General features: G+C 42.4%; 1 protein-coding gene across 3 annotated transcripts in view, besides 4 other annotated features; it reads right to left on the reverse strand.

The window, feature by feature from the left end:
* Positions 1-22,249, reverse strand: part of FRMD4A (FERM domain containing 4A) — a 687,219-nt gene that overhangs the window by 108,751 nt on the left and 556,219 nt on the right. For all 3 annotated transcript variants that reach the window (NM_018027.5, NM_001318336.2, NM_001318337.2), the window contains 2 exons: positions 10,168-10,224; positions 9,191-9,213 (listed from right to left, as the gene is read on the reverse strand). In NM_018027.5, the coding sequence (NP_060497.3) occupies positions 9,191-9,213; positions 10,168-10,224 (80 nt within the window). The remainder of the gene's footprint in view (positions 1-9,190; positions 9,214-10,167; positions 10,225-22,249) is intronic.
* Positions 5,097-5,286: an enhancer, noted in NCBI's record as "active region_3064". NCBI's record gives its function as "activates an Ori minimal core promoter by ATAC-STARR-seq in GM12878 lymphoblastoid cells {active_cell/tissue: GM12878}" and the evidence as "EXISTENCE:reporter gene assay evidence [ECO:0000049][PMID:35858748]".
* Positions 5,521-6,720: an enhancer, noted in NCBI's record as "MED14-independent group 3 enhancer chr10:13799977-13801176 (GRCh37/hg19 assembly coordinates)". NCBI's record gives its function as "activates an origin of replication core promoter dependent on BRD2, BRD4, P300/CBP and CDK7 cofactors, and independent of MED14, by STARR-seq in HCT116 cells {active_cell/tissue: HCT116}" and the evidence as "EXISTENCE:reporter gene assay evidence [ECO:0000049][PMID:35650434]".
* Positions 5,869-6,566: an enhancer, noted in NCBI's record as "H3K27ac hESC enhancer chr10:13800325-13801022 (GRCh37/hg19 assembly coordinates)". NCBI's record gives its function as "activates a minimal SCP1, AML or CMV promoter by ChIP-STARR-seq in primed H9 embryonic stem cells {active_cell/tissue: H9 hESC(primed)}" and the evidence as "EXISTENCE:reporter gene assay evidence [ECO:0000049][PMID:30033119]".
* Positions 6,018-6,157: an enhancer, noted in NCBI's record as "active region_3065". NCBI's record gives its function as "activates an Ori minimal core promoter by ATAC-STARR-seq in GM12878 lymphoblastoid cells {active_cell/tissue: GM12878}" and the evidence as "EXISTENCE:reporter gene assay evidence [ECO:0000049][PMID:35858748]".

Consider the following 22,249-nt stretch of genomic DNA (forward strand, 5'->3'; position numbering starts at 1 on the left):
CTTTTTCAAGAAAGTCCCCCTGGGTCAAATGAGATGTATGTAATTTGTGGGAGAAACTTGGGACGAACAGAATAGGCTTAGCGTGAAAGAATTCTTGCTAAAACCAGTCGTTTCTGTCTGCACTGGTACAAAAACAGCAGAGCACAAAACCCAGAATGTGATACTATCGTAACAGAAAGGAACAGCCTGCAATTCAGAAACAGTAATATAATGCTAGCATTGGCCTCACTCCTCCATATTTTATGAGCAGAATCATGAAGGTCAAGTTCTCAGGGGCGGGATATTTCATAAGTAGAGTGTTGCAGGTCCTTCATCCATTATCACAATTCCAAAATTCAAAAAGCTAGAGTCTAAGAAACATTTCTTAACCCATCTGGCGGCAAACTTCATCTTTTTGCATGAGGCAATGATGGACCTTTCTATTTGCGCCCACTTGCTGCGCATATCCATGTTTTGGGCTGGAGGTGTTGATGTGTTTAATTCCAGGTGCTGCCCTAGGCCCTGCCCAGGGTGTCGTACAAGCCCTGAATTACCTGCCTAAATCCTGCCAAGTTCTGAATTCGTAAACATTGAGACCCTAAAGTTCTAGATATACATACGTGGCTCTCTGTTCCTTTGTTCGATCATACAGTGGACCTAGAAAACTGAGACAGATTAATGAGGGAAGTTATAGATTTTCATTCTTTGCTGATCTTTAAGAAATCATGCAGGAAACAATCTTTAATTTCCCTTTCCTTTCTTCCTCCTCCTTTTTTTGGTAAACCAAGGTGAAGCTGAGGTTACAACAAAGAAAAGAGAGCACCTGCCTATCTCCGCCCAATCACATGCTTTTTTCCCCAGGTGTGTAGGAAAGAAATGTTGCAGGGGTCTTCCACCATTGGGTTGGGTCCCATCTGTCTGAGAAACTTTTCCTGCCATAGTGTGTGACCATTCACAGACAAAGGGAATCACTTGGAGGCCCCAGGAGGTTTTTCCAGCATGGGATTCTGAATTCTGGGCATGAATCATAGATAAATCACATGAATTTACCAACTGTTTGTTGGGGGCAACATTGCAAACACATTGATGAAATATGTACCTTTCTATTTTTTTTTTTTTTTTTTTTTGAGACAGGGTCTCGCTTTGTTGCCCAGGCTAGAGCGCAGTTTTGAGATCATGGCTCACTGCAGCCTCCACCTCCCAGGCTCAAGTGAACCACCTGCCTTAGCCTCCAAGCAGCTGGGACTACAGGTGCTTATCACTGCACCTGGTTAATTTTTTAAATATTTTGTAGAGATGAGGTCTCACTATGTTGCCTAGGCTCATCTTGAACTCCTGGGCTCAAGCAATCCTCCTGCCTTGGCCTCCCAAAGTGCTGGGATTATAGGCGTGAGCCACAGTGTCTGGCAGTGCCTTTATTTCTGTTGCTAATTGTTAAGTTATATAAGTAAGGATTTCTTCCTTGATTACCGAGTCTCGTTTTCTGGGGTGAAATGAAGTTTTATGAATTTCTAATTTATGTTAGGTATAAACATGTAAAATTTAAGACAAATTTAAAAATTGTTTCATAAGTCTACAATTTCAGGCAAATAATTTTCTCAAAAAGCCCAAGAAGAAACGATTAACTTTCTATATTTCTCAGTATCACCCTTTAGTTTCAGAATTTCCACTCTGAAAAACTGACACAGTACCATAGCCATGAAACGTTTTGCTGTTCACAGGTATAACTGAAAATATGATATTTTAATATGTTAAATAAATGCCTAACAAAAGAAGTAAGCTGTCATAATACAAAATTTCCTCCTTACTTGGCTTCTAAGCAATTCGCATAGAATTTGAAGAATATCATCCTGCAAAAAAAAAACTACCCTATCCCTATCCAAATACTTTTTTATGCTTTGAAAATGTGAATTACACACTTGAAAGCTCCATCAAATAGACTTTAGTGCACAAAACAAAGCTTTCTGTAACAATTTATAACTTTTCCACTTGAACATTTTGCTTCAAATTTTCACAGATTCTGTTCCTTTCAAAAGCTCTTGCTGGTGTGAAAGATTCCATCTGCTCTTCAATTACTCATGGCCCTTAAAGTCATTTTTAAATCATGGGAAAACGCCACACACAATTCTTTCGTGTGTGTGTGTGTGTGTGTGTGTGTGTGTGTGTAAAACAGTATATAAATAGTATATGAGAATTATATTAATTTCAATTCTTCCCACAAAAACTCTTCTTTGGGCTGTTAGGTGTGTTTCAAGTTTAACAGATCAACTTTTTTTTTTCTAGGATGTTTCCAACAGGGAAATTTGAAAGTTTAGGTAGATATTAAAGTTACTGTTAAGTTACATAAGTTATGTTCCCAATGTTAACTATTTCAGACATAACTGAGTATTTTTTCAGGAATTATCTAAAAGCCTCAGCAAGTCTATTTCTCGTACCATATGATCATGCCAGCTGTTTATTTTCAAGTGGTCAATTTAAAAATCGTAGGGAAATATGCCCCAAATGATCTAATAACGATTTGAAACCGAGCTAGCTAGAGCTAGAGCTAAAGCTGTGGTAGTAAAACCACTTCTGTAAGTGCAGGGAAATGATATTGGTATACTAGGAATTGTGATTTACAGACTGCTGCTTTAGATTAATCAAGTCTCCATGTTGTAGCTGGCAAGAAAATGACTTTGTCATCTTTTTAAAGATCGCAATCGATATAAACGTTTATATTACTCAAAAAAAGTCTTTTAGAAGAAAATTAGTTCTTCGTGTTCTTTTCCTGTTGATCATCTAAAGCTCTTCCTCTAGCCTGTGACTTCCCAAAAGGCACCCTCTGGCCTGGCAAAAAAGACTTACAAACCTGGAATTTTCGGATACCAGTAAGTTGAGTTCAGTTTATATTAATTCACACATGGCTCTTTATAAAGGCAGAACAGATTTCAAAGAAAGAAAGAGAAAACCAAGAAGGCACTCTTTTTGGGCCATAAAAATTTCTTTCCACACTAGTGAGCACACCATCCCATGGTTTATAGAAGATAAAATACTAAAAGGTCTTTACATTTTTGCCTCTAACCGCTCCCCTGGGCACCTAATAACATGTGGTTTGTGGAAGTTAATGGGAATTTTTCAGCACAAATAAATACTCCAACTCCTCTTCTAAAATGGAGGTGAAAATCAATTTTCCTTGTTAATGAGGGACTGCTACTATTTGTTTCCATTGATTGGGTGATGCATTGTTCTGTTTCTAAAAGCAAGCTGTTTTTCATTTTTTGTTTTAAAGAAACAGAATTAGTAACTTGCAGACTGACACCACAGGTATACACTAAGATTTCTTAGCCGACACTCACTAAGCTCTGATAAGCTGATATTCTCTCACTTGGACTGGCATTTCATCTTGTAGAGATGTCATGTAAACTGGCCCCCAAGTATTCAATCAAAACCTGAGTTCTTTTCCTTTGGTGGCTATGTTTATTTGGAATGGTGAGCCTGTAGACACAGGGTCCCTTCCATCGCCTCTTAAGCATGTGATGGGTTCTGCTGAACAGAGCCAGGTAGGCAAAACGTGGACCAAGAATCTTTACACGGAATTTCCTTACTATCTGTCTTTTCCAGGTGCTGTTTGCTTTCTGGTCTTAATAAATCTCATGCTGGGAGAATCCTGTTTTAGTGATTAGCATCAGTATATCCAGTCCTCGGAAACAAAAATATTTCCAGGTCCCAGAAGAGGGTCCAGAGTAACACAGCTTTACTGATCTGGTTTCAATAAATCTTGTTAACAAAAAATTCTATAGAACAGATGTTTTTTACTTGTCTCTGTTAATGTATGGACGATTCTTTATTTCAAAGGTAGTGTGATTTTGGCATTTGTGATTTGCATTGTTTAGCGCAAAGCATTTTAAAAGTACTTCAATATTGCAAAATGCTAAACGTTATTTTTTATTTTATTTTTTGAGACAGGGTCTCGCTCTATTACTCAGGCTGGAGTGCAGTGGTGCAATCTCGGCTCACTGCAGCGGCAGCCTCTGCCTCCTGGGATCAAGCAATCCTCCCACCTCAGCCTCCCAAGTAGCTGGGACTACAGGCACACGCCACCATGCCCGACTAATTGTTTTTGTATTTTTAGTGGAGACGGGGTTTTGTCACGTTGCCCTGGCTGGTCTCGAACTCCTGGCCTCAAGCAATCCATCCGCCTCGGCCTCCCAAAGTGCTGGGATTAAAGACGTGAGCCACCATGCTTTGCTTAAAGTTATTATTTTAAGAAAATTTGCGGCACATTTTTAGAAAGATCAGAAGGGCTGGCAGAGGTGAAGTGATTCTCAAAATCAGGGTAAGGAGATTGGCTGATAAGGTTTTCAGTTAAGGTCCCTTATAGACAAAAACCAAAAAATCAAGTTTTTGTATGTGATATCTCCCTCAGTACAGTGTTGCAATGAGACTTCTGTTAAATTAAATTAGAATATAACTAGAAAATTGGACGTCCTATCAGTCGATTAAATGAGGTATTCTCTGCACTGAACTTTTTAAGGAAGAGAACATTAGTTTTTCTATCATAACCCAAGAGTTTTTAAAAAAGCTTTGAAACAGAAAACATCAGTGCTCCATTCTCAAAACCCTGCACTGTTTACGATGAATAAAGTATGTAAGAATCATAGATAATGTCTGTTAGTTAGTTGGCCAATGGTCAACAGCGATTATCGAAAGACAATTTTTTGTTTTTAAACTGCATCGGTTCTTGTCTTCCAAATATTTGGCCCACAGCTGCCTTTGTTAACAGCTTGGAGGCTACTGAATTGTTTTTAAAGAGAAATGCCAACTCTACTGACTTCCTGATTGTCGACAGACATGAGGTTTTTTGTTTTACATGTATATACATCAGGAAATGAAATGAGATTACTACATGCTGTGCTAAGGAAAACAATAAAAGTGAAAAAATGTTATTTTTAGATAAGACTATTTCCTAAACCTTTAGAAGTATCGTACAAATTTGTCCTCCATTTGGTAGAATATGAACATGTGTGGTCTGTATCTCTTCTATGGCAGGCGATACTAATCATCTATCTAGATAACAGTCATTTTCTCTCAGCACGCTAAACCTGACATTTCAGTGTAAAGTCCAATAAGACAAGGAAGTGAGCTATTTTGTTAGTGGGAAAGAAAAGACAGTTATGTAAGAATAAGCCTTCAGGCATCTGCTGAGCAAAACAGAGAGCCCAAAAGAAGAAACGGAAGAGCAAGTGAGTTTCATGAGAAAGAGTAGCTACGGTTCACAGTTGTCTTTATATAGTTCTCTTTCCATTAAGGTGTATCAGCACTTTTGACTTCGTCTTTTTTTTATTTGAGAGGGAGTTTTGCTCTTGTCACCCAGGCTGGAGTGTAATGGCACGATCTCAGCTCACTGCAACCTCCGCCTACCAGGTTCAAGCAATTCTCCTGCCTCAGCCTCCCGAGTATCTGGGATTACAGGCGCACACCACCACACCTGGCTAATTTTTGTATTTTTAGTAGAGACAGGGTTTCACCATGTTGGCCAGGCTGGTCTTGAACTCTCGACCTTAGGTGATTCACCTGCCTTGGCCTCCCAAAGTGCTGGGATTACAGGCATGAGCCACCACACCCAGCCCTTGACTTCTCTTTTGTAAAAGCAATCCCCTTTTCTCTTGTACCTCAAGGAAACTGCTCCCATAATTTATGAATTAATACTCATTCCACATAAATGTAATTTGGATATAGTCCCTGAAATGTAAATATCTAGGATAATAGTATCCTGAAGAAAATAGCCTTTTGGGAAGTTTTAGATTCAGGACCTTTCAGGCTATGAAAGAGTTACTTTATCTTTTGTGTGTGGCCATTCATTTAAAAGGTTATTGGATCCTCTGGATTTTAGAAGATCTTTGAGTTCAGCCCTAGACCCTGTGTTATATCTAGAAAAGCCTTTTCTAGGGTTCTGTGTGTTCTAAGCTGGTATTTTATTAATGTGGTTCAGGAAAACATATCTACAGTATGGAAGTCAAAGCCATTCCTTTAAATAAAACTGAGGTTATATAGTCATGCATTTAATAATAGTGATAGATGCAGGAGGCATGCAGATGCAGATAAGGAAACCTGCACAGGGTCTTGCCCGGGCGTGCCTGCAAGGGACTGGGGCCCACATGTGCACTAGGAGAAGGGGGTGGAGCCACCAAGAATTCATGCCTTATGCAGGGGAGGAGACTGATATTCAATCTGTGAGGTGGGAGCCTGTTGGCAGGACCCTCTCTTTTTTTGCTGAGAGCCTTCTTTTCGCTTAATAATCCACTCTCCTCTCCCTTCAGTGTGTCCATGTGCCTATTTTTTCCTGGTCGTGAGACAAGAAGCTGGATTTTAGTTGAACTAAGGAGCAAAAAATCCTGCATCAATAGCAAAAACAACTTTCTATAATAAATCATAAATAAATTTATTTATATAAATTACATAAGTTATGAGAATGGGACATCTAAAATACCTAATGTTTAGCCACTGAACCGAATGTGGTCAATTTCGACGTGTTGGGTATCTTCCCAGAAGCAGATGGGAAGGAATTTGGAATTACTTCTATTACTCCACAATTTTAGGCCACTCAAGTGTACTAGTTTCTCTGGACCTCTGAAGATGGCTTTACTAGCATGGGCCTGCTACAGAAAAAGGGTGTTTATCAGAGACTCCCATGTAACAAATCACCCCCACCGTCCATGGTGTAGGTTTTAGGCTGTGAGATAAACTGACCTTTTGGATAAGGTGTCTGACCTCTCCCCTCTCCTGACAGTGATTTCTCTTCCCAGACAGCTGCGCTTACAAACAAACTGCTAGGTAGCAGTAGCACTTTGACAAATGGAGCACAACCCGGATCCTTTGTTTCTTTGAATTCAGCCAACAAGCTGGCATTCCAGAAGCTCATTAGGGGGCCATGAATTACTGTGGAGGCCAAGCCTGCACTTCCTTCTCCCTGGCAATCCATGTGGCCACACGTTCCCATGATCCGTGGGGCCAGATCATGCTATTCCCAGTTCACATTCCATCCCGTCAGGGTACTCTCAAAATAAATAATATTTACAGCAGAGTTCAGAGCTGGCGAAAGAAATGTGGAGGGAAAAATGTGAGTAAGTAGACTAGACACTGGAATCCATTGGATTTGTGGTTTTTAAATCATTTTTTCATGGGACTTCAGAAATCTTTGTAAGTAGATATGGACTGGCACTTATCAAAACCCCAAATTCCAAGGCCAAATTAATGTCATAAAAAAGTGACAAATAAAAATTGTAACAAGATTTAGTTTCTGTAACCTGAAAACATTATGTTTAGCAAATTCGGTAAATGGTTACTGGCCACCTACAAAGTTCAAGGTCTCCAGCCAAAGCTACTTACAGTCATTATCTATTTAAAAATTTGACTACCACTGCTTTATACCAAAAACTTGGAGAACTTAAATAAAAGGGGCCTGGAGGTCTCTTTATGCAAATATTCAAACAGAGCTGAAGAGATGGCATTTGAGATCAGAGTCAGCAACTACAACCCCCTAGACAAATCCAGTCCTCTGCTTGTTTATGTATTACCCATGAACTAAGGATGGCTTTTACACTTTTAACTGATTGGAAAAAGAAACCAAAAGAAGAAGAATATTTTGTGATACATGAACATTTATATGAAATTCATATTTCTGTATCCATAAATAAAGTTTTATTGGAACACAATCAGGCTCATCCATTTACTTATCCTATGGGGCTGCTTTTGCACTTAGGAAGAGTTGTGTAATTGAAACAGAGATCGTACTGCGTGCAAAACTCAAGATACTGACAATCTGGCCCTCAACAAAAAAAGCTCGCCGATCCTTGTTTTAGACTGTAAAATAATTTTTTGCTTTTGCTGAGATGTCTGACTGAGAACAGTCAACATAGTGAGAGCTCATCTCTACAAAAAATAAAATAAAATAATTAGCCCGGTGCAGTGACTCATGCCTGTAGTCCCAGCAACTTGGGAGGCTGAGGCAGGAGGATCACTTGAGCCCAGGAGCTGGAGGTTACAGTGAGACATGACTGCACCACTGCACTCCAGCCTGGGTAACAGAAGGAGACCTTGTCTCTGAAAAAAATTAAAAAATAATAATAATAAAAAAGCAAGCATGAGAAGTGTACATGGAGAGCAAGGAGAAAGCAGTTGAGACCTGAAAAACCAGTGACAAAGACAGCCAACTACAGGTGGCCACCAACAGAAGTAGTTTTTGCTGCATTTACAGATAAAATCCCTCAAAGCATGGGGAAACAGACAGGTTCTTAGATGGAGCAGAGGTACGATCTGTGTTTCTTTTTAATACCAATTTGCTAATTTCCTGTTAATGGGCCAGAACCTTACGCCTTGATGCTTTCCTTTCCTGTTCATGTGGTTCACTCTTTTTGCCTCTAAACCTTGATTCTCCAGAATGGGCTACCCTGGCCTTTTTTTTTTTTTTCAGAGGAGCTTGATCAAACAGAATCCCAGGAATAACGACTATCTTTGAGCAGATAGTCCTGCTAGTGGTTGGCTACACCCTCTGCTCTGTGCAGGGTCTGGTGATGATCACAAGAGATTTCAGGGCGATTTCAGGGCAATTTCAGCCATACTGATCAACATATGGTGATGAATGAAATAAATGACAAGTTTGCAGTTTTACAGGGTTATTAACAACATTCACAGATTCCCAGTAGTTGTCTGTTTATGTTTTCTCCAACACAATATCCTAAGACAGAAGGAAAGCAGAGGTGGGGTATTTTTATGTTGTAACATTTTCACGAATGAAATTTCCCTGTAAGAAAGTATTTTGTCCCTTGAGGGGCAGGGACTACATTGAGAGAAAAAAAGATGTCCACCTACTTGTCAGGACTGACAGGTTATCTGCAATCATATTTACACCACAGTGGTGATTCCAGCCTCTACGAGACATTTGAGCAGCCTGTCCAACCTCAGGACAATGGGCATGTGTGACGCTGGGCCTAATGTCAGCTTTCCAGTAATCTCCGGGCTTTGCATGTAGTGGAGAATATCTCCCTTGCTATTACTATATTTTCTCCACCTGATCTATCTGTTTCAGTGGACAAGTTGAGAGTTAGATCTCATCATTAACATATAACATGAATAAATTGTCCACCTAAAAAGGACATCCTGATTAGTTTCTTTTAATAGAGAAGCAAGGGCTTACATTTTAAACAACACAACAACAAAATTGTAAACTTACCTAGAAAAATCTCCCTTTGCCTCCTGTAGAAGAAAAAATTCAACATCAGCGAAATACACTAAGCCAATGTTAGAGACTCTAAAGTACATTCTATAATCATGAGAGTTTCTCTACTGAATGAGATGAGTTCAGCTTCCTGCAGTTATCATCCTATTTGCTGCAGGAATACAATTAAAACTGAATGCACACCTTTGCCATTTGAATATGAAATATGAAACTAAACTCTAGAAACTTATATACAAAGTAAGTGATTCATAATGACAAAATGCACATCTCCACCTCTAAGCCTGGGTCTGACATGTTCTAGATTAAAGATTCTAAATATGAACATGTATCTGGATAGAACTGTCGATTTCTAGGGTCAGTTTTTGTTTTGGTTTGTATTTTATGCTAGTTCCCAATTATACTGAAGACTCTGGAGGTAGGGACCAGAGAAACTTTAGTGAATCCAGTATAATGCCCTGAACATAGTAGTTGCTCAGTAAATACTTATTGAAGGAATAAAGAAATGATATCATTTTAACTCATCTTGCCACTATTAAGCTAATATTCTATAACATCTTTTTTTACGTTTTATTTTTGCATAACCTAAAGGGCTTTACCTTGTCTTTCTAGGGGGCAGAACATGATTTTTTGGCCACTAACTCTAGCTATTCACTTGGCTTTCTCCAGGGTGGAGGTACCAAACCCAAAGAAAATGGGGTCAGTAAATGATCTCAGTTTCTCCCAGGCTCAGGTTAAACACACAACTTCGCTTTACAGGGATTTTCTGTCTTAACATTTTGAAATACTACAAGCCCCTGTTTATTGCTATGGTTTCCGTCAGTGTCTCTAATAGCTCTATGCAGCTTGTGGCTAAAAAAAGGTAAGACGACAAATAGTGAGTAGATACAGCTACTGGCTATGCCTGGTAAGTCTTACTTCCTTTCTTCTGTGTATGGCCGTGGGACATAAAGAGGAGGAGAAAAACAACTTACCTGTAAAATATAGGAAGCTAATTCAAACACCACTTCGCTGTCAACGTCAATAAGCTCCTGAAAGGAAAAAGCAACAAACGAAGACAAGTTTGGTATTTAACCACCATTTTTTTCTTTTATTTTAAATGACAGCTCTTCTTCGGGAGGATTACTTGAGCCCTGGAGTTTGAGACCAGCCTGGGCAACATAATGAGATGCTGCCTCTACAGAAAATTTAAAAATTAGCTGGGCAGGGTGGTGCACGTCTGTAGACGCAGCTGTTTTGGAGGCTGAGGTGGGAGGTTGAGGTTGTAGCGAGCTGTGATAGTACCACCGCACTCCAGCCTGGGTAATGGGGTGAGTGAGACCCTGGCTCAAAACAAACAAACAAACAAACAAAAAGCCTTATTTTCTGAGGAATTGCTCAGAATCCCCAATATTCATAGAACATCTTGAGTCTCTGAGACCACACCCTGAATTATTCAGTCCTAAACACTCCCAACATCGTTTTTACTGCTCTTAGCTGGGATGGACTAGGGGACCTGGGCCTACCCGACTATCTCAAGGGCCTCACCTTTAAATCTTTAGAGAAATTAAGAGGCAGACTAGGCCCCAGCATTTTACAAACCTGTTTGTTAATGTTATTAATCACTGGAATAGGGATGCTTGACAACAAAATGCATTTTCTTTAAAAACTAAACTTCAGAACTTTCTTTCTATAAAGAAAGGCTTTCTTGAAAGGCTGTTTTTTGAAAGGAATGTTACAGTGGGATTGTAACTCCTTAAAATTAAATAAAATGTAAAAATATAGTTCCTCGGTTGTACTAGCCACATTTCTTTCATGTGCTCAATAGTTCAGTGTCGCTAGTGACTACCGTATCGTCAGCTCAGATACAGAACGTTTCTACCACTGTAGAAAGTTCTATTGGTCAGCAACTGTTACACAGTGTAAGTTTAACAATGTTTCTGCCTATTAGTTCTTCCCCCAAATACTTAATTGTGATCTAGGGACGTGGTCTTCAAAGCACTTAAACCTCTCCTTGGTTTTTGAAAAAATTCCTTTTCTCTCTCTCTCTTTATATTTATATTTTTGAAATACATATTTCAAAATGTATATAGTTCATATCTTTTAACAGCTTTTTTCTTTCTCTGAGACAGAGTCTTGCTGTGTCACCCAAGCTGGAGTGCAGTGGTGCGATCTTGGCTCACTGCAACCTCCTCCTCCCAGGTACAAGTGATTTTCCTGTCTCAGCCTCCCGAGTAGCTGGGACTACAGGCATACACCACCACACCGGATAATTTTTTTGTATTTAGTACAGACGGGGTACCAGGTTGGCCAGGCTGGTCTGGAACTCCTAGCCTCAGGTGACCTGCCTGCCTTGGCCTCCCAAAGTGTTGGGATGATTACAGGCATGAGCCACTGCACCCGGCCAAAACAGCTTTATTGAAGTATAACTAAAACACCTCAAAAACTGCATATGTTTAATGTAAACAATTTGATGAGTTTGGACAGATGCATACACCCATGATACCATTACCACAACCAAGGTAATAAACATATCGATCACATCCAAAGATTTCCGTGTGTGTGTGTGTGTGTGTGTGTGTGTGTGTGTGTATGGTAAAAACACCTAGCTGGGCATGATGGCTCACACACTTTGGGAGGCAGAGGCGGATGGATCACTTGAGCCCAGGAGTTCAAGACCAGCCTGGTCAACGTGGCGAAACCCCATCTCTATTAAAAATACAAAAATTAGCCTGGAGTGGTGGTGTATGCCTGTAGTCCCAGCTACTTGGGAGGCTGAGGTGGGAGGGTCCCCTGAGCCTGCGGAGGTTGAGGCTACAGTGAGCTGTAATCATGCCACTACACTCCAGCCTGGTGACAGAGAGACCCTGCCTCAAATAAACAAACAAACAAACAAACAAACAAAACCTAACAACAACAAACTCACTAACCATGAGGACATGACCTACCTTCTTAATAAACTTCTAAGTCTTCTAAGTGCACAACACTCTCTCATTATACATAGCTCACATGTTAAAGACAAAGAGAAGCCTGGAGTCCATCAGCATGCCAGAATAATACACAATTTAATTGATATCCTATGTCTGGTGTCAAGCTTAAGCACAAATATCCATTTTATTTTTCTTTCCCTAGTATCACAAGATCCCATAGTGGCTGACTGGATGACAGAGAGCTAGAGGTAAAAGAGATTTAGAGACCAGCCAGCCTGACCCTGTGCTTTTACTGAGAATGGAACCCAAAAACATCAAGGGACTTTGCAAAACCACAGGGCCTTAATGGCACTTAAGGGGCCGGGAACAGACCCCCTACTACTTGTCCAGTGTGTGACCTCCCTTAGGACTTACATTTCCACCCAAATCAATAGAGAATCAGTTTCAGCCAATGTATTCTAAGAACAATATCTATAATCCAATTTGCTTAGCAAGAGTTTCTATTCACTTGCATTACAAGCCAGACTCTGATTCAAGGATTGATTTTTTTTTTTTGTTTTTTTTTTTTTTTTTGAGACGGAGTCTCACTGTTGTCGTCCAGGCTGGAGTGCAATGGTGCGATCTCGGCTCACTGCAACTTCTGTCTCCCGGGTTCCAGCAATTCTCCTGCCTCAGCCTCCCAAGTAGCTGAGATTACAGGCGCCCACCACCACGCCTGGCTAATTTTTTTGCATTTTTAGTAGAGATGGGATTTCACCATGTTGGCCAGGCTGGTCTCGAACTTCTGACCTCAGGTGATCCACCCACCTCGGCCTCCCAAAGTACTGGAATTACAGGCATGAGCCACCATGCCCGGCCGATTCATGGATTTTGTAATTATTTTTTGAGAGGTCCAGAATTGGCTCCTGCAATTTAAAACAATGCATTCAAGCACACCTGGATCTTTTGAAGGAGAGATATCTTTCAGGCTCCTTTGGGCCTGGGAATTTCACAGTTGGATACTAATATTTGCCCTGGAACCACCTTAGAAGTACGGGTTAAAAGAACTCATGAGAGCCTACGGAAGAATTGGGGACAATAATTCCTTACGTTTAACCAGCTGAAAGAGCTTTACGGCGGTTGGAATTGATAGAGGCTGTCGGTGCTGGGATGCGGAAGAATGTTTGGAATTGCAGTTCCGGGATTAGCAGGTCCCATCAGAATGTAAATCATTTAACAGTGTACAGATGGCTTCACAGAAACACTGTCCAGGATTTCCACAATAGATGGTTTCTACTCTCACTCTGTGCGTTTCCATTCCCACCTGAATGCCTTGGGGTGCACTTGTTAGCGTGCTGTTGTATGTGTGCTTTTCTGTCAAACATTTACACCTTATGTTACAGCCAATGGTCGACTGCGGGCTAATATTTAACATCTGCTGAGAGGCTTATCTGATGCGCAACTCAAAACCAACCATCAGAAAATAACACTTTTAAGTGTGAACATAGCTTTTAGTTTGCTATTTGATTCATCCGCTAAACGAAGATGTCTCTACCTGCGCGGAGGCGGGTAACACGAAGGAAGGTCTTTTATTCTATTTTACACAGCCCATTATGTGGTCCCAGGAGAGTATCATTGGTGAACATTAACTGTAACATAACTGATATCCACAGGAAAGCTACCAAAAATATCCACAGGAAAGCACCATCAAATATCTAACCTGATTGATTCAACTTCTCTCTCACCATAGTTGTTCTCGGGTTAAGTGAGAACTGGCACCTTTAACTGTGGTGACTTTTCGGGTGAAAAGCCTGACCTTGACTATCTATCTCCCAGTGAAGATATCAAAAACAGGAGGAGGTGAAATGTGGCCAGTGGGAGGGAAAATGATTAAAGATTCAAGCGCCCCAGGCATTGCACATGCTTACAAAATCTGATGGAAAGAGCTGCATTATTATTTCTGACCTCGCCTATTTAACATGCATTGAATTTAAGGATCATTTCATTGGATGTTCTCATAGGACTCAACACAAAGACCAAAACGGTGTGGATAAGAACCAATCTAGGGTGGTGGGAAGACATCCTGAGAGTCTTTGCCCAATTCCCCAATGTCACTTGTTCATGATACTGTTTCCCCCTTATACACCTCATCCTTCCAGGTGGCTTTATCCTTAAGATTCTACCACGATGGAGCAGAGCTCTAGACTTCCGGCTTACTCTGAAAATTTCCCATGGTACTTCAAAACCTGAAAGCTGGCCGGGCACAGTGGTTTAAGCTTGTAATCCCAGCACTTTGGGAGACCGAGGAGGGCAGATCATGAGGTCAAGAGATTGATACCATCCTGGACAACATGGTGAAACCCCGTCTCTACTAAAAACACAAAAATTAGTTGGGCGTGGTGGTGCACGCCTGTAGTCCCAGCTACTCAGGAGGCTGAGGCAGGAGAATCGCTTGAACCCTGGAGATGGAGGTTGCAGTGAGCCGAGATAGCGCCACTGCACTCCAGCCTGGTGACAGAGTGAGACTCCATCTCAAAAGACAAAACGAAACGAAACAAAACACCCCTGAAAGCCAAGTTCCACACAGGGGAGTTATTAGATGTTTTCAGGGGTCTTCCTAGCAGAAATGTGCTCCCATATGACATTAAGAAAATGACTCTCCCTTTTCCTTATCTGACTTCTCCAGTGGTCCAGAGGTGGCTTTTCATTTATTTTTTTTGAGACAGGATCTCACTGTGTCACCCAGGCTGGAATGCAGTGGTGCAACCTGGGCTCACAGCAACCTCCGCCTTCTGGGTTCCAGCAATTCTTGTGCCACAACCTCCCAAATAGCTAGGATTACAGGTGTGCGTCACCATGCCTGGCCAATTTTTTTATTTTTAGTGGAAGCAGGGTTTCACCATGTTGGCCAGGCTGGTCTCAAACTACTGACCTCAAGTGATCCACCCACCTCGGCTTCCCAAAGTGCTGGGATTACAGGCATGAGCCTCCGTGCCCGGCCAGAGGTGGCATCTTTCATGGGTTTCTGCTCAAGCAGAGGAACTACACTGAAGGAGACCACACAGAGTGTGCAAAAATCCCATTTTTTTCCTGGGATTCTGGGCTTTCCCCATAACTGTAACTAAGGACAAAATGGGATCATAGGAGGAGGAGCAGAAGACACTTCCCGGAGGCTTGAGGGTGGCTTCCATCTGCCTTATGCAGGGGCTGAGGTGTAACATTCCTCTGCGCTTATGCAATCCACAGCTCTGCGGTGAAGCCCCCCGTGCTCTTGCGGCCATTGGAGGGAGGGGTTTCTGCAGTGTCTGAGCTGGAATCTAGCCTGGGAATCTTGGGCTGTCTGGTGGGCATGGAATAATTACTTTGAGACTCTAGAGAAGCCCAGGGCGATGCTGGCAGGAGGAAGTGTAAGGTCCTTTGGTGACTGTGGCCACTGGGTGTGTACTTTAGGCATCTGCTTTCCTTACTACTGAATAATGCATGCTGCTTCCTTTGATCTTTGAGAAATGGTATGGAAAGACGAACCGTGACCGTCTGCAGGTATGTGTGTGTGTGTGTGTGTGTGCGAACGTGCTCTGAGTAGGGGTGGGAAGGGCTGCCCCACTTCCTCCCACGCCGTGTTGTTTTATCCCAGGTGACTGAACTGCCGAAGGAAGAGGCCTGAGGTCATTTATCAGCAACACCATGCCTAACAATATTCTCAGAAAGATTTCCATCTGAGGGTCTCCAAGTGTTTCTAACAAGTGGGCCCGTGGGAACCCCAAATGGCAGGTGTTACGGATGTTCTCCAAGAGTCCTGAGAGCCGGAGGGCCTCTTTGCTCAGAGGGACTTGGTGGTGGTCTTTACATTTAACCAAGAATCTTAATGACAAGCAGCCCACCATGGTCCGGAACTGCAGGAATTCCAACTCTCATGTAAGACAAATGAGATAATTCCGTGAGAAAATGTAATTGACAACCATATAGTAGGTCGAGAAGATTTTGACAAGGACAGTCTTTGCAAAGTCCACTCGGAACCACTTGTAGGGTTAGGAAAGCCACCAAGCGTTTTCCTAACGAATTCTCACCAGTTATCACCACGTTTATTCTTACCCACAAAACATCTAAAGATAATAGTGGCATGCCATTCTCCTTAAGATTATTTCTACTGTCCCCTGAAAGTCCCATATTCTGGTCTTAACCCCCCAATGCCTTGAGGACATGGACTGAACCACCTGACCTTGAGTTTGATTTTCCTTATCAGTAAAATGGGGATAACAATTTCCTTTCCAATTATTTTACTGGGTTTGGTGAGGCATAAATGAAGTGACTTGGAAATATAAAACACACTACAAGTATTAGATCTATATTATTTATTTCTGCTGATGAGTATCTATAGATAATCTGAACTCCACAGTTTTGCCTTTGTTCTTTAGTATGTCTTAGCATTTATAGGAAACTTTACTAGATTTTTTTTTTTTTTTTTTTTTTGAGACGGGAGTCTTGCCTTGTCGCCCAGGCTGGAGTGTAGTGGCGCGATTTCGGCTCACTGCAAGCTCTGCCTCCTGGGTTCAGGCCATTCTCCTGCCTCAGCCTCCCAAGTAGCTGGGACGACAGGCACCCACCACCACGCCTGGCTAATTTTTTGCATTTTTTAGTAGAGATGGAAGATTTTGTTTTAAAAGAGATGGGTTGTGTGTGTGTGTGTGTGTGTGTGTGTGTGCGTATGTGTGTGTACTGGTCACCGTGTCTGTGGTGTATTTTATGTGTCAACTTGACAGGCCAAGGGTTACCCAGATTATTTATTTTTGAGACAGGGTCTTGCTCTGTCACCCAGGCTGGAGTGCAGTGACACCATCTCGGCTGACTGCAACCTCTGCCTCCTGGGTTCGAGCGATTCTTGTGCCTCAGTTTCCTGAGTAGCTGGGATTACAGGTGCCCATCACCACAACCAGCTAGCTTTTTGTATTTTTAATAGAGACGAGGTTTCACCATGTTGCCCCGGGTGGTCTAGAACTCCTGGGCTCAAGTGATCCACCCACCTCGGCCTCCCAAAGTGCTGGGATTACAGGCATGAGCCACTGTGTCCGGCCCCGAGTTGCCCAGATTAAACAGTTTCTGGATGTGTCTACGAGGGTGTTTCTGGATGAGATCAGCATTTGAATCAGTGGACTCAATAGACCACCCTCCCCAGTGTGGGTGGACATCACACAATCCTGGAAGGCTTGAATAGAACAAAAGATGGAGGGTGGAGGAGCTTGCCCCTTTTTTCATTTTTCTTTCTTTCTTTTTGTCCCTTGCTTTTTGAGCTGGGACATCACATTTCATCTTCTCTTGTCCTTGGACTGGGACTTATACCACTGGCTCCCTGGTTCTCAGGTCTTTGGACTCAGCCAGTGGACTGACACCACTGGCTTTCCTGGGTCTCCAGCTTGCAGACAGCAGACTGTGGGATCTCTCAGCCCCCATGATCTTGTGAGCCAACTCCTCATAAGAAGTCTCTTTCTGTATATCTATATATATCCTATCGGTTCTGTCCCTCTGACTAATACACCGTATATCATTAAAGTGGGACACAATGCCCATATTTAGCCCAACTTGCTCTCTTCTTGTGGCTCTATGCCTCATTGCACAACTCATCATAATTACGCAAATTTGCCCCCGGGGCAAACAGGGGCTGTGGTGCAGGATGAGACTGATGCGATCTCGCACAATTCCTCATTCTTAGTCCTCTGCCAGTTTTTCAGCATCAAGTCACTTCATGTTTGTCTAATGATCCACGAGGTGAATGCCACTCATGCTCAGCCGCAACCCTAACTCTGCCGCGTTGGGATTTCTCATGCTGTCCACCCCACCGCAGACAGCCCATGTCAGGATCTCAAGGAATCGTTCTTTTATTAACTTATATTTTAAATAATTTTTACTTTTATTTATTTATTTTTGTTGAGACAGGGTCTTGCTCTGTTGCCCAGGATGGAGTGCAGTGGCACCATCATAGTTCACTGCAGCCTTGAACTCCTGAGCTCAAGTGATCCTCCTGCCTCAGCCTCCTGGGTAGCTGGGACCACAGGCACACACCACCGTGCTTAGCTAATTTTAGTTTTTTTGTAGAGATGGGGGTCTCACTATGTTTCTCAGGTTGGTCTTGAACTCCTGGGCTCAAGTAATCCTCCTGCCTTGGCCTCCCAAAGTGTTGGGATTACAGCTGTGAGCTACTGATTCCTGGCCTGGAATCATTCTTTTAGAGATCATGGGCACAGCCAAGACGACAGATCCATGTAAGCTTGTTTCTTGAAAGTTGAAAAAGAAGGTACCTGTCTGTCCTTCTCTCATACCCCCTCTGTCCTACAAGGGCATGCTCTAAACCTGCAGATATTTATGTTGTCCTCTAGAATGTGATTCTGGGCTTTGGCTTGGTTCTCCCACCTACAGATGAGATGACGTCATCTGATCATTAGCAAAGCATGTTGAAGGTATTGAATAAAGACCATTTATTTCAATATCAACAAGAGTGATAGCATTTAGACCTAAACTGCAAATGTGGCCCAAGGATGATTACTTAAACTCCATTTTTTTTTAAGAGATGAGTTCTCTGTCATCCAGGCTGGAATGCCCCAGTGTCATCCTAGCTCACTTCAGCCTCGAACTTGTGGGCTCAAGTGATCCTCCCATCTCAGCTTCCCAAGTAGTTGGGACTACAAATGTGTGCCACCATGCCTGGCTAATTAAATATATTTTTTTGTAGGGTTGGGGTCTTGCTATGTTGCCCAGGCTGATCTCAAACTCCTGGCCTCAAGCCAACTGCCTTGGCCTCCCAAAGTGCTGGGATTATAGGTATGAGCCACCACGCCTGGCCAGCAGAGGCTCCCAGACCAATTTGGACAAGATCTGCACCCTCCCAAGAACACCCATAAAGCAGAAATTTTAAGCCTTTTCCTTTATGTCATGATTTGTTCTCAGTGCAGTGTAGGCAACAAAACTCGGTGATTTCTCAGGAAATATGCAAATCCTTGCTCCCTTGGAAAGTAACCAATTAAAAAATAATTTTCTGAGCATCGGCTATGTGCCTAGTACAGTGATAGGCCATGGAAGATGAGCTTAAAAATCCACTCAGAAAAATGCTGGTACCAACTTCTCCTCCAGCCTAAAGAAGCATATTTCAGCCCATCTCCAGATGGCAAGCACAGTCCTGTTTCTTTGGTTATCACTGCTGGGGAAGGTTAGTGCTTTTAGACGAAGCATAATTGAAATGTGATGAATGTCCCTAAAGAGTGCATTGCCAGCTGGGTGCGGTGGCTCACGCCTGTAATCTCAGCACTTTAGGAGGCCAAGGAAGGAGGATCACTGGAGCCCTGGAGTTCAAGACCAGCCTGGGCAACATGGTGAAACCCTGTTTCACTTTGAAACAAAACCAAACAAAACAAAACAAAACACACAAAAAAAACAAATTAGCTGGGTGTGGTGTCGCATGCCCATAGTAGTCCCAGCTACTTGGGAGGCTGAGGCAAGAGAATTGCATGAACCCAGGAGGCAGAGGTTGCAGTGAGCTGAGATCACGTCACCGCACTCCAGCCTGGGTGACTGAGCAAGACTCCGCCTCAAAAAAATATATATATTATATAATATATAATAAAGATATATAATATATAATATATTATATTATATATAATTATTATATAATAATAAATATTTATTTATTATTATTATATAATAAATAAATAAAGAGTTCATAGCTAATCCCTTTGGGCAAGGGCAAACTTATACAGGTGAAATATTAGATTCCTGATGTAATCTTAGAGACCAGAATAGATGCCCCTTTATCAACTACACCAGACTCTAAGGTTAAGTTACCTACAGGTCGAGGGTTCAGGGCCAGCTGGCCTAGCAAATTTCTCAATTTCTGTGGCTAAACTCTCTACCAATAGGAGCTGTCAATGCTGGTTTACAACCCAGACCATTACAACTCTGACTGGACAGAGGGCCAGCCTTACAAACATTCTCTTCTGAGGAGCTACTGTAGACTTTAGGCCAGTTTCAGCAGTTCGCAGAGGCTGCACACAAACCATCTTTGTGTCCTATAGTTCACCTGGTGAGGTAAAGCGCCTCAAATTCCACCTCATTTTAATGCTAAAAGCCATCCCAGGAAGGAATGGGAGGTCATGATGTAAAGTGAAATAGGCCAGGCACAGAAAGACAAAGTTCATATTTTCTCACTTATTTGTGGGAGCTAAAAATGAAAACCATTGAACTCATGGAGACAGAATAGAAGGATGGTTACCAGAGGTTGGAAAGGGTAGTGAGGGTGGGAGAGGTGGGGATCGTTAATGGGTACACAAAAATAGAAAGAATGAATAAGACCTAGTATTTGATAGCACAACAGGGTAACTGTGGTCAATAATGATTGAATTGTACATTTTAATGTAAGTAAAAGAGTAGAAGTGGATTGTTTGTAACACAAAGGATAAATGCTTGAGGGGGTGGATACCCCATTTGCCCTGATGTGGTTATTACACATTACATGCCTGTATCAAAATATCTTATGTACCCCATAAATATAGACACCTACTATGTACCCACAACAATTAAAAATTTAAAAAACCAAAGTAAACATGGTAAGTATGTCACCAATATGTCTACCTATGGCACACACACTCGACACTCCTTCGTAACTATGCATAACTTTTCCCCAAACCTGCTGAATGTGTATGACTCTATTATGTAATAAGAACACCGTGAGTCATAAAACCCGACCTGCCCTTCTCCTTTTCAAAAAGAGCACCTTCAGTCCACGCTGGAGACTTTCTCTTCTCAGCTTGCAAACCGGTACTGCCAATACAGCCCTTTCTCCTAGTTAGCCACCTCGGTGGCCTTTTGGATGATACTGATGGTGCATCTAGGCATTCTGACAGCCACTCACGCCACCTAACCTCAATCAAGGAACTATCAAAGTACTTCTCTGAGGAACTGAATGGAAAGGTCTTTCGACATGAGCACCAATTTTCTTTTCTCTCTGAAGGTTTGCATGTAAAGAAGATTGGGAGCTGGTGATTTCTTGATTTCTCTTATAGCTGTAAGATGTATAATTTGTGGAAATCTTTCTGATAAAAAAACTAAACAGACTCTGTCATTTTACGACCTATGTTTGCAAAGCTTTCAGACATCACTGTGATGACTAATTTTTGATGGTGGATCATCTTCTTCTGTCAGTGCAGAACCCAGAATAGGCAGGATTCAATCCTGCAGCCAGAAAGTGCGGGAAGAGCTGAGGGTCCACATTCCCTGACTCGCTCCTGTCTCATGGGACAAGTCCGCTGCCTCCTGCAGGGGCTGATGGATGGGCACCTTCAGTTGGCTGTTGGAAGCCACACCGGAAGAGGGAGAGGAGCAGATGGAAAAGGCTTGGCGGGAAAGCTGTGCCGTCTTATTGGTCTCTTTCCAGGGAACACGCAACGTTCCAGGCAGGCTTCCTGTGAGAGTTTCCCATGGGACGGGACTCACATTTCTAAATGAGATGTATCCACGCCCTGGCCAATGTCCTCTCTATCACCCACCTGTCTCCTTAGTGAGTTCAAGCACATCAGAAACACTGTTGGACCATGTAGGAATCCTATTCCACACTTCCTCCTGCTCCACCGGAAGCACACAATGACAGCCCCGCTGTCTCATATCCATATTTTAATTTTCTGCAACTTGGATAGATTATGACTACATTTTCCTGCTCTATTGTATAAAGTAGGGGGGTGGAAGGGAAGAGAAAGTGAGAGGGGCGTCTGCTGTGGCCATGCCTCCTGCCTGCTGGGAAAGAGAGAGGAAGGTAGGAAGGCAGTGTTCACAGTTTGGGAAAAATAGCAAAACAAAGCCAAACACCTTTCCTCGCCTTTCTGCTATTAAAGAGATGAGAGGTTCGTTCTCTGAAGAAGAACAGGAAGCAGGGATGAAGTGGACCGGAAGTGCAGGAATTACATGGAATTCTATACCCAGTGTGGAGACTGTTCCCTCCCGATCCCTGGATGTGGGAGGACATGTCCCAGGCAGGAAGGGAAGGGTTTTTTCTGGAGAGAATGGAGAGCCAGAGAGGAAAGATGTCCAGATACCAAGACACTGATATTCGGGGTTCCCCAGGGAAAGAACCAGCTTGCGACGGGATCACGTCACAGGGACACCCACTGGGGGACCATCCCACCCTGAA

The sequence above is a fragment of the Homo sapiens genome, chromosome 10 (genome assembly GCF_000001405.40).
Source record: "Homo sapiens chromosome 10, GRCh38.p14 Primary Assembly".
NCBI classification, from domain to species: domain Eukaryota; kingdom Metazoa; phylum Chordata; class Mammalia; order Primates; family Hominidae; genus Homo; species Homo sapiens.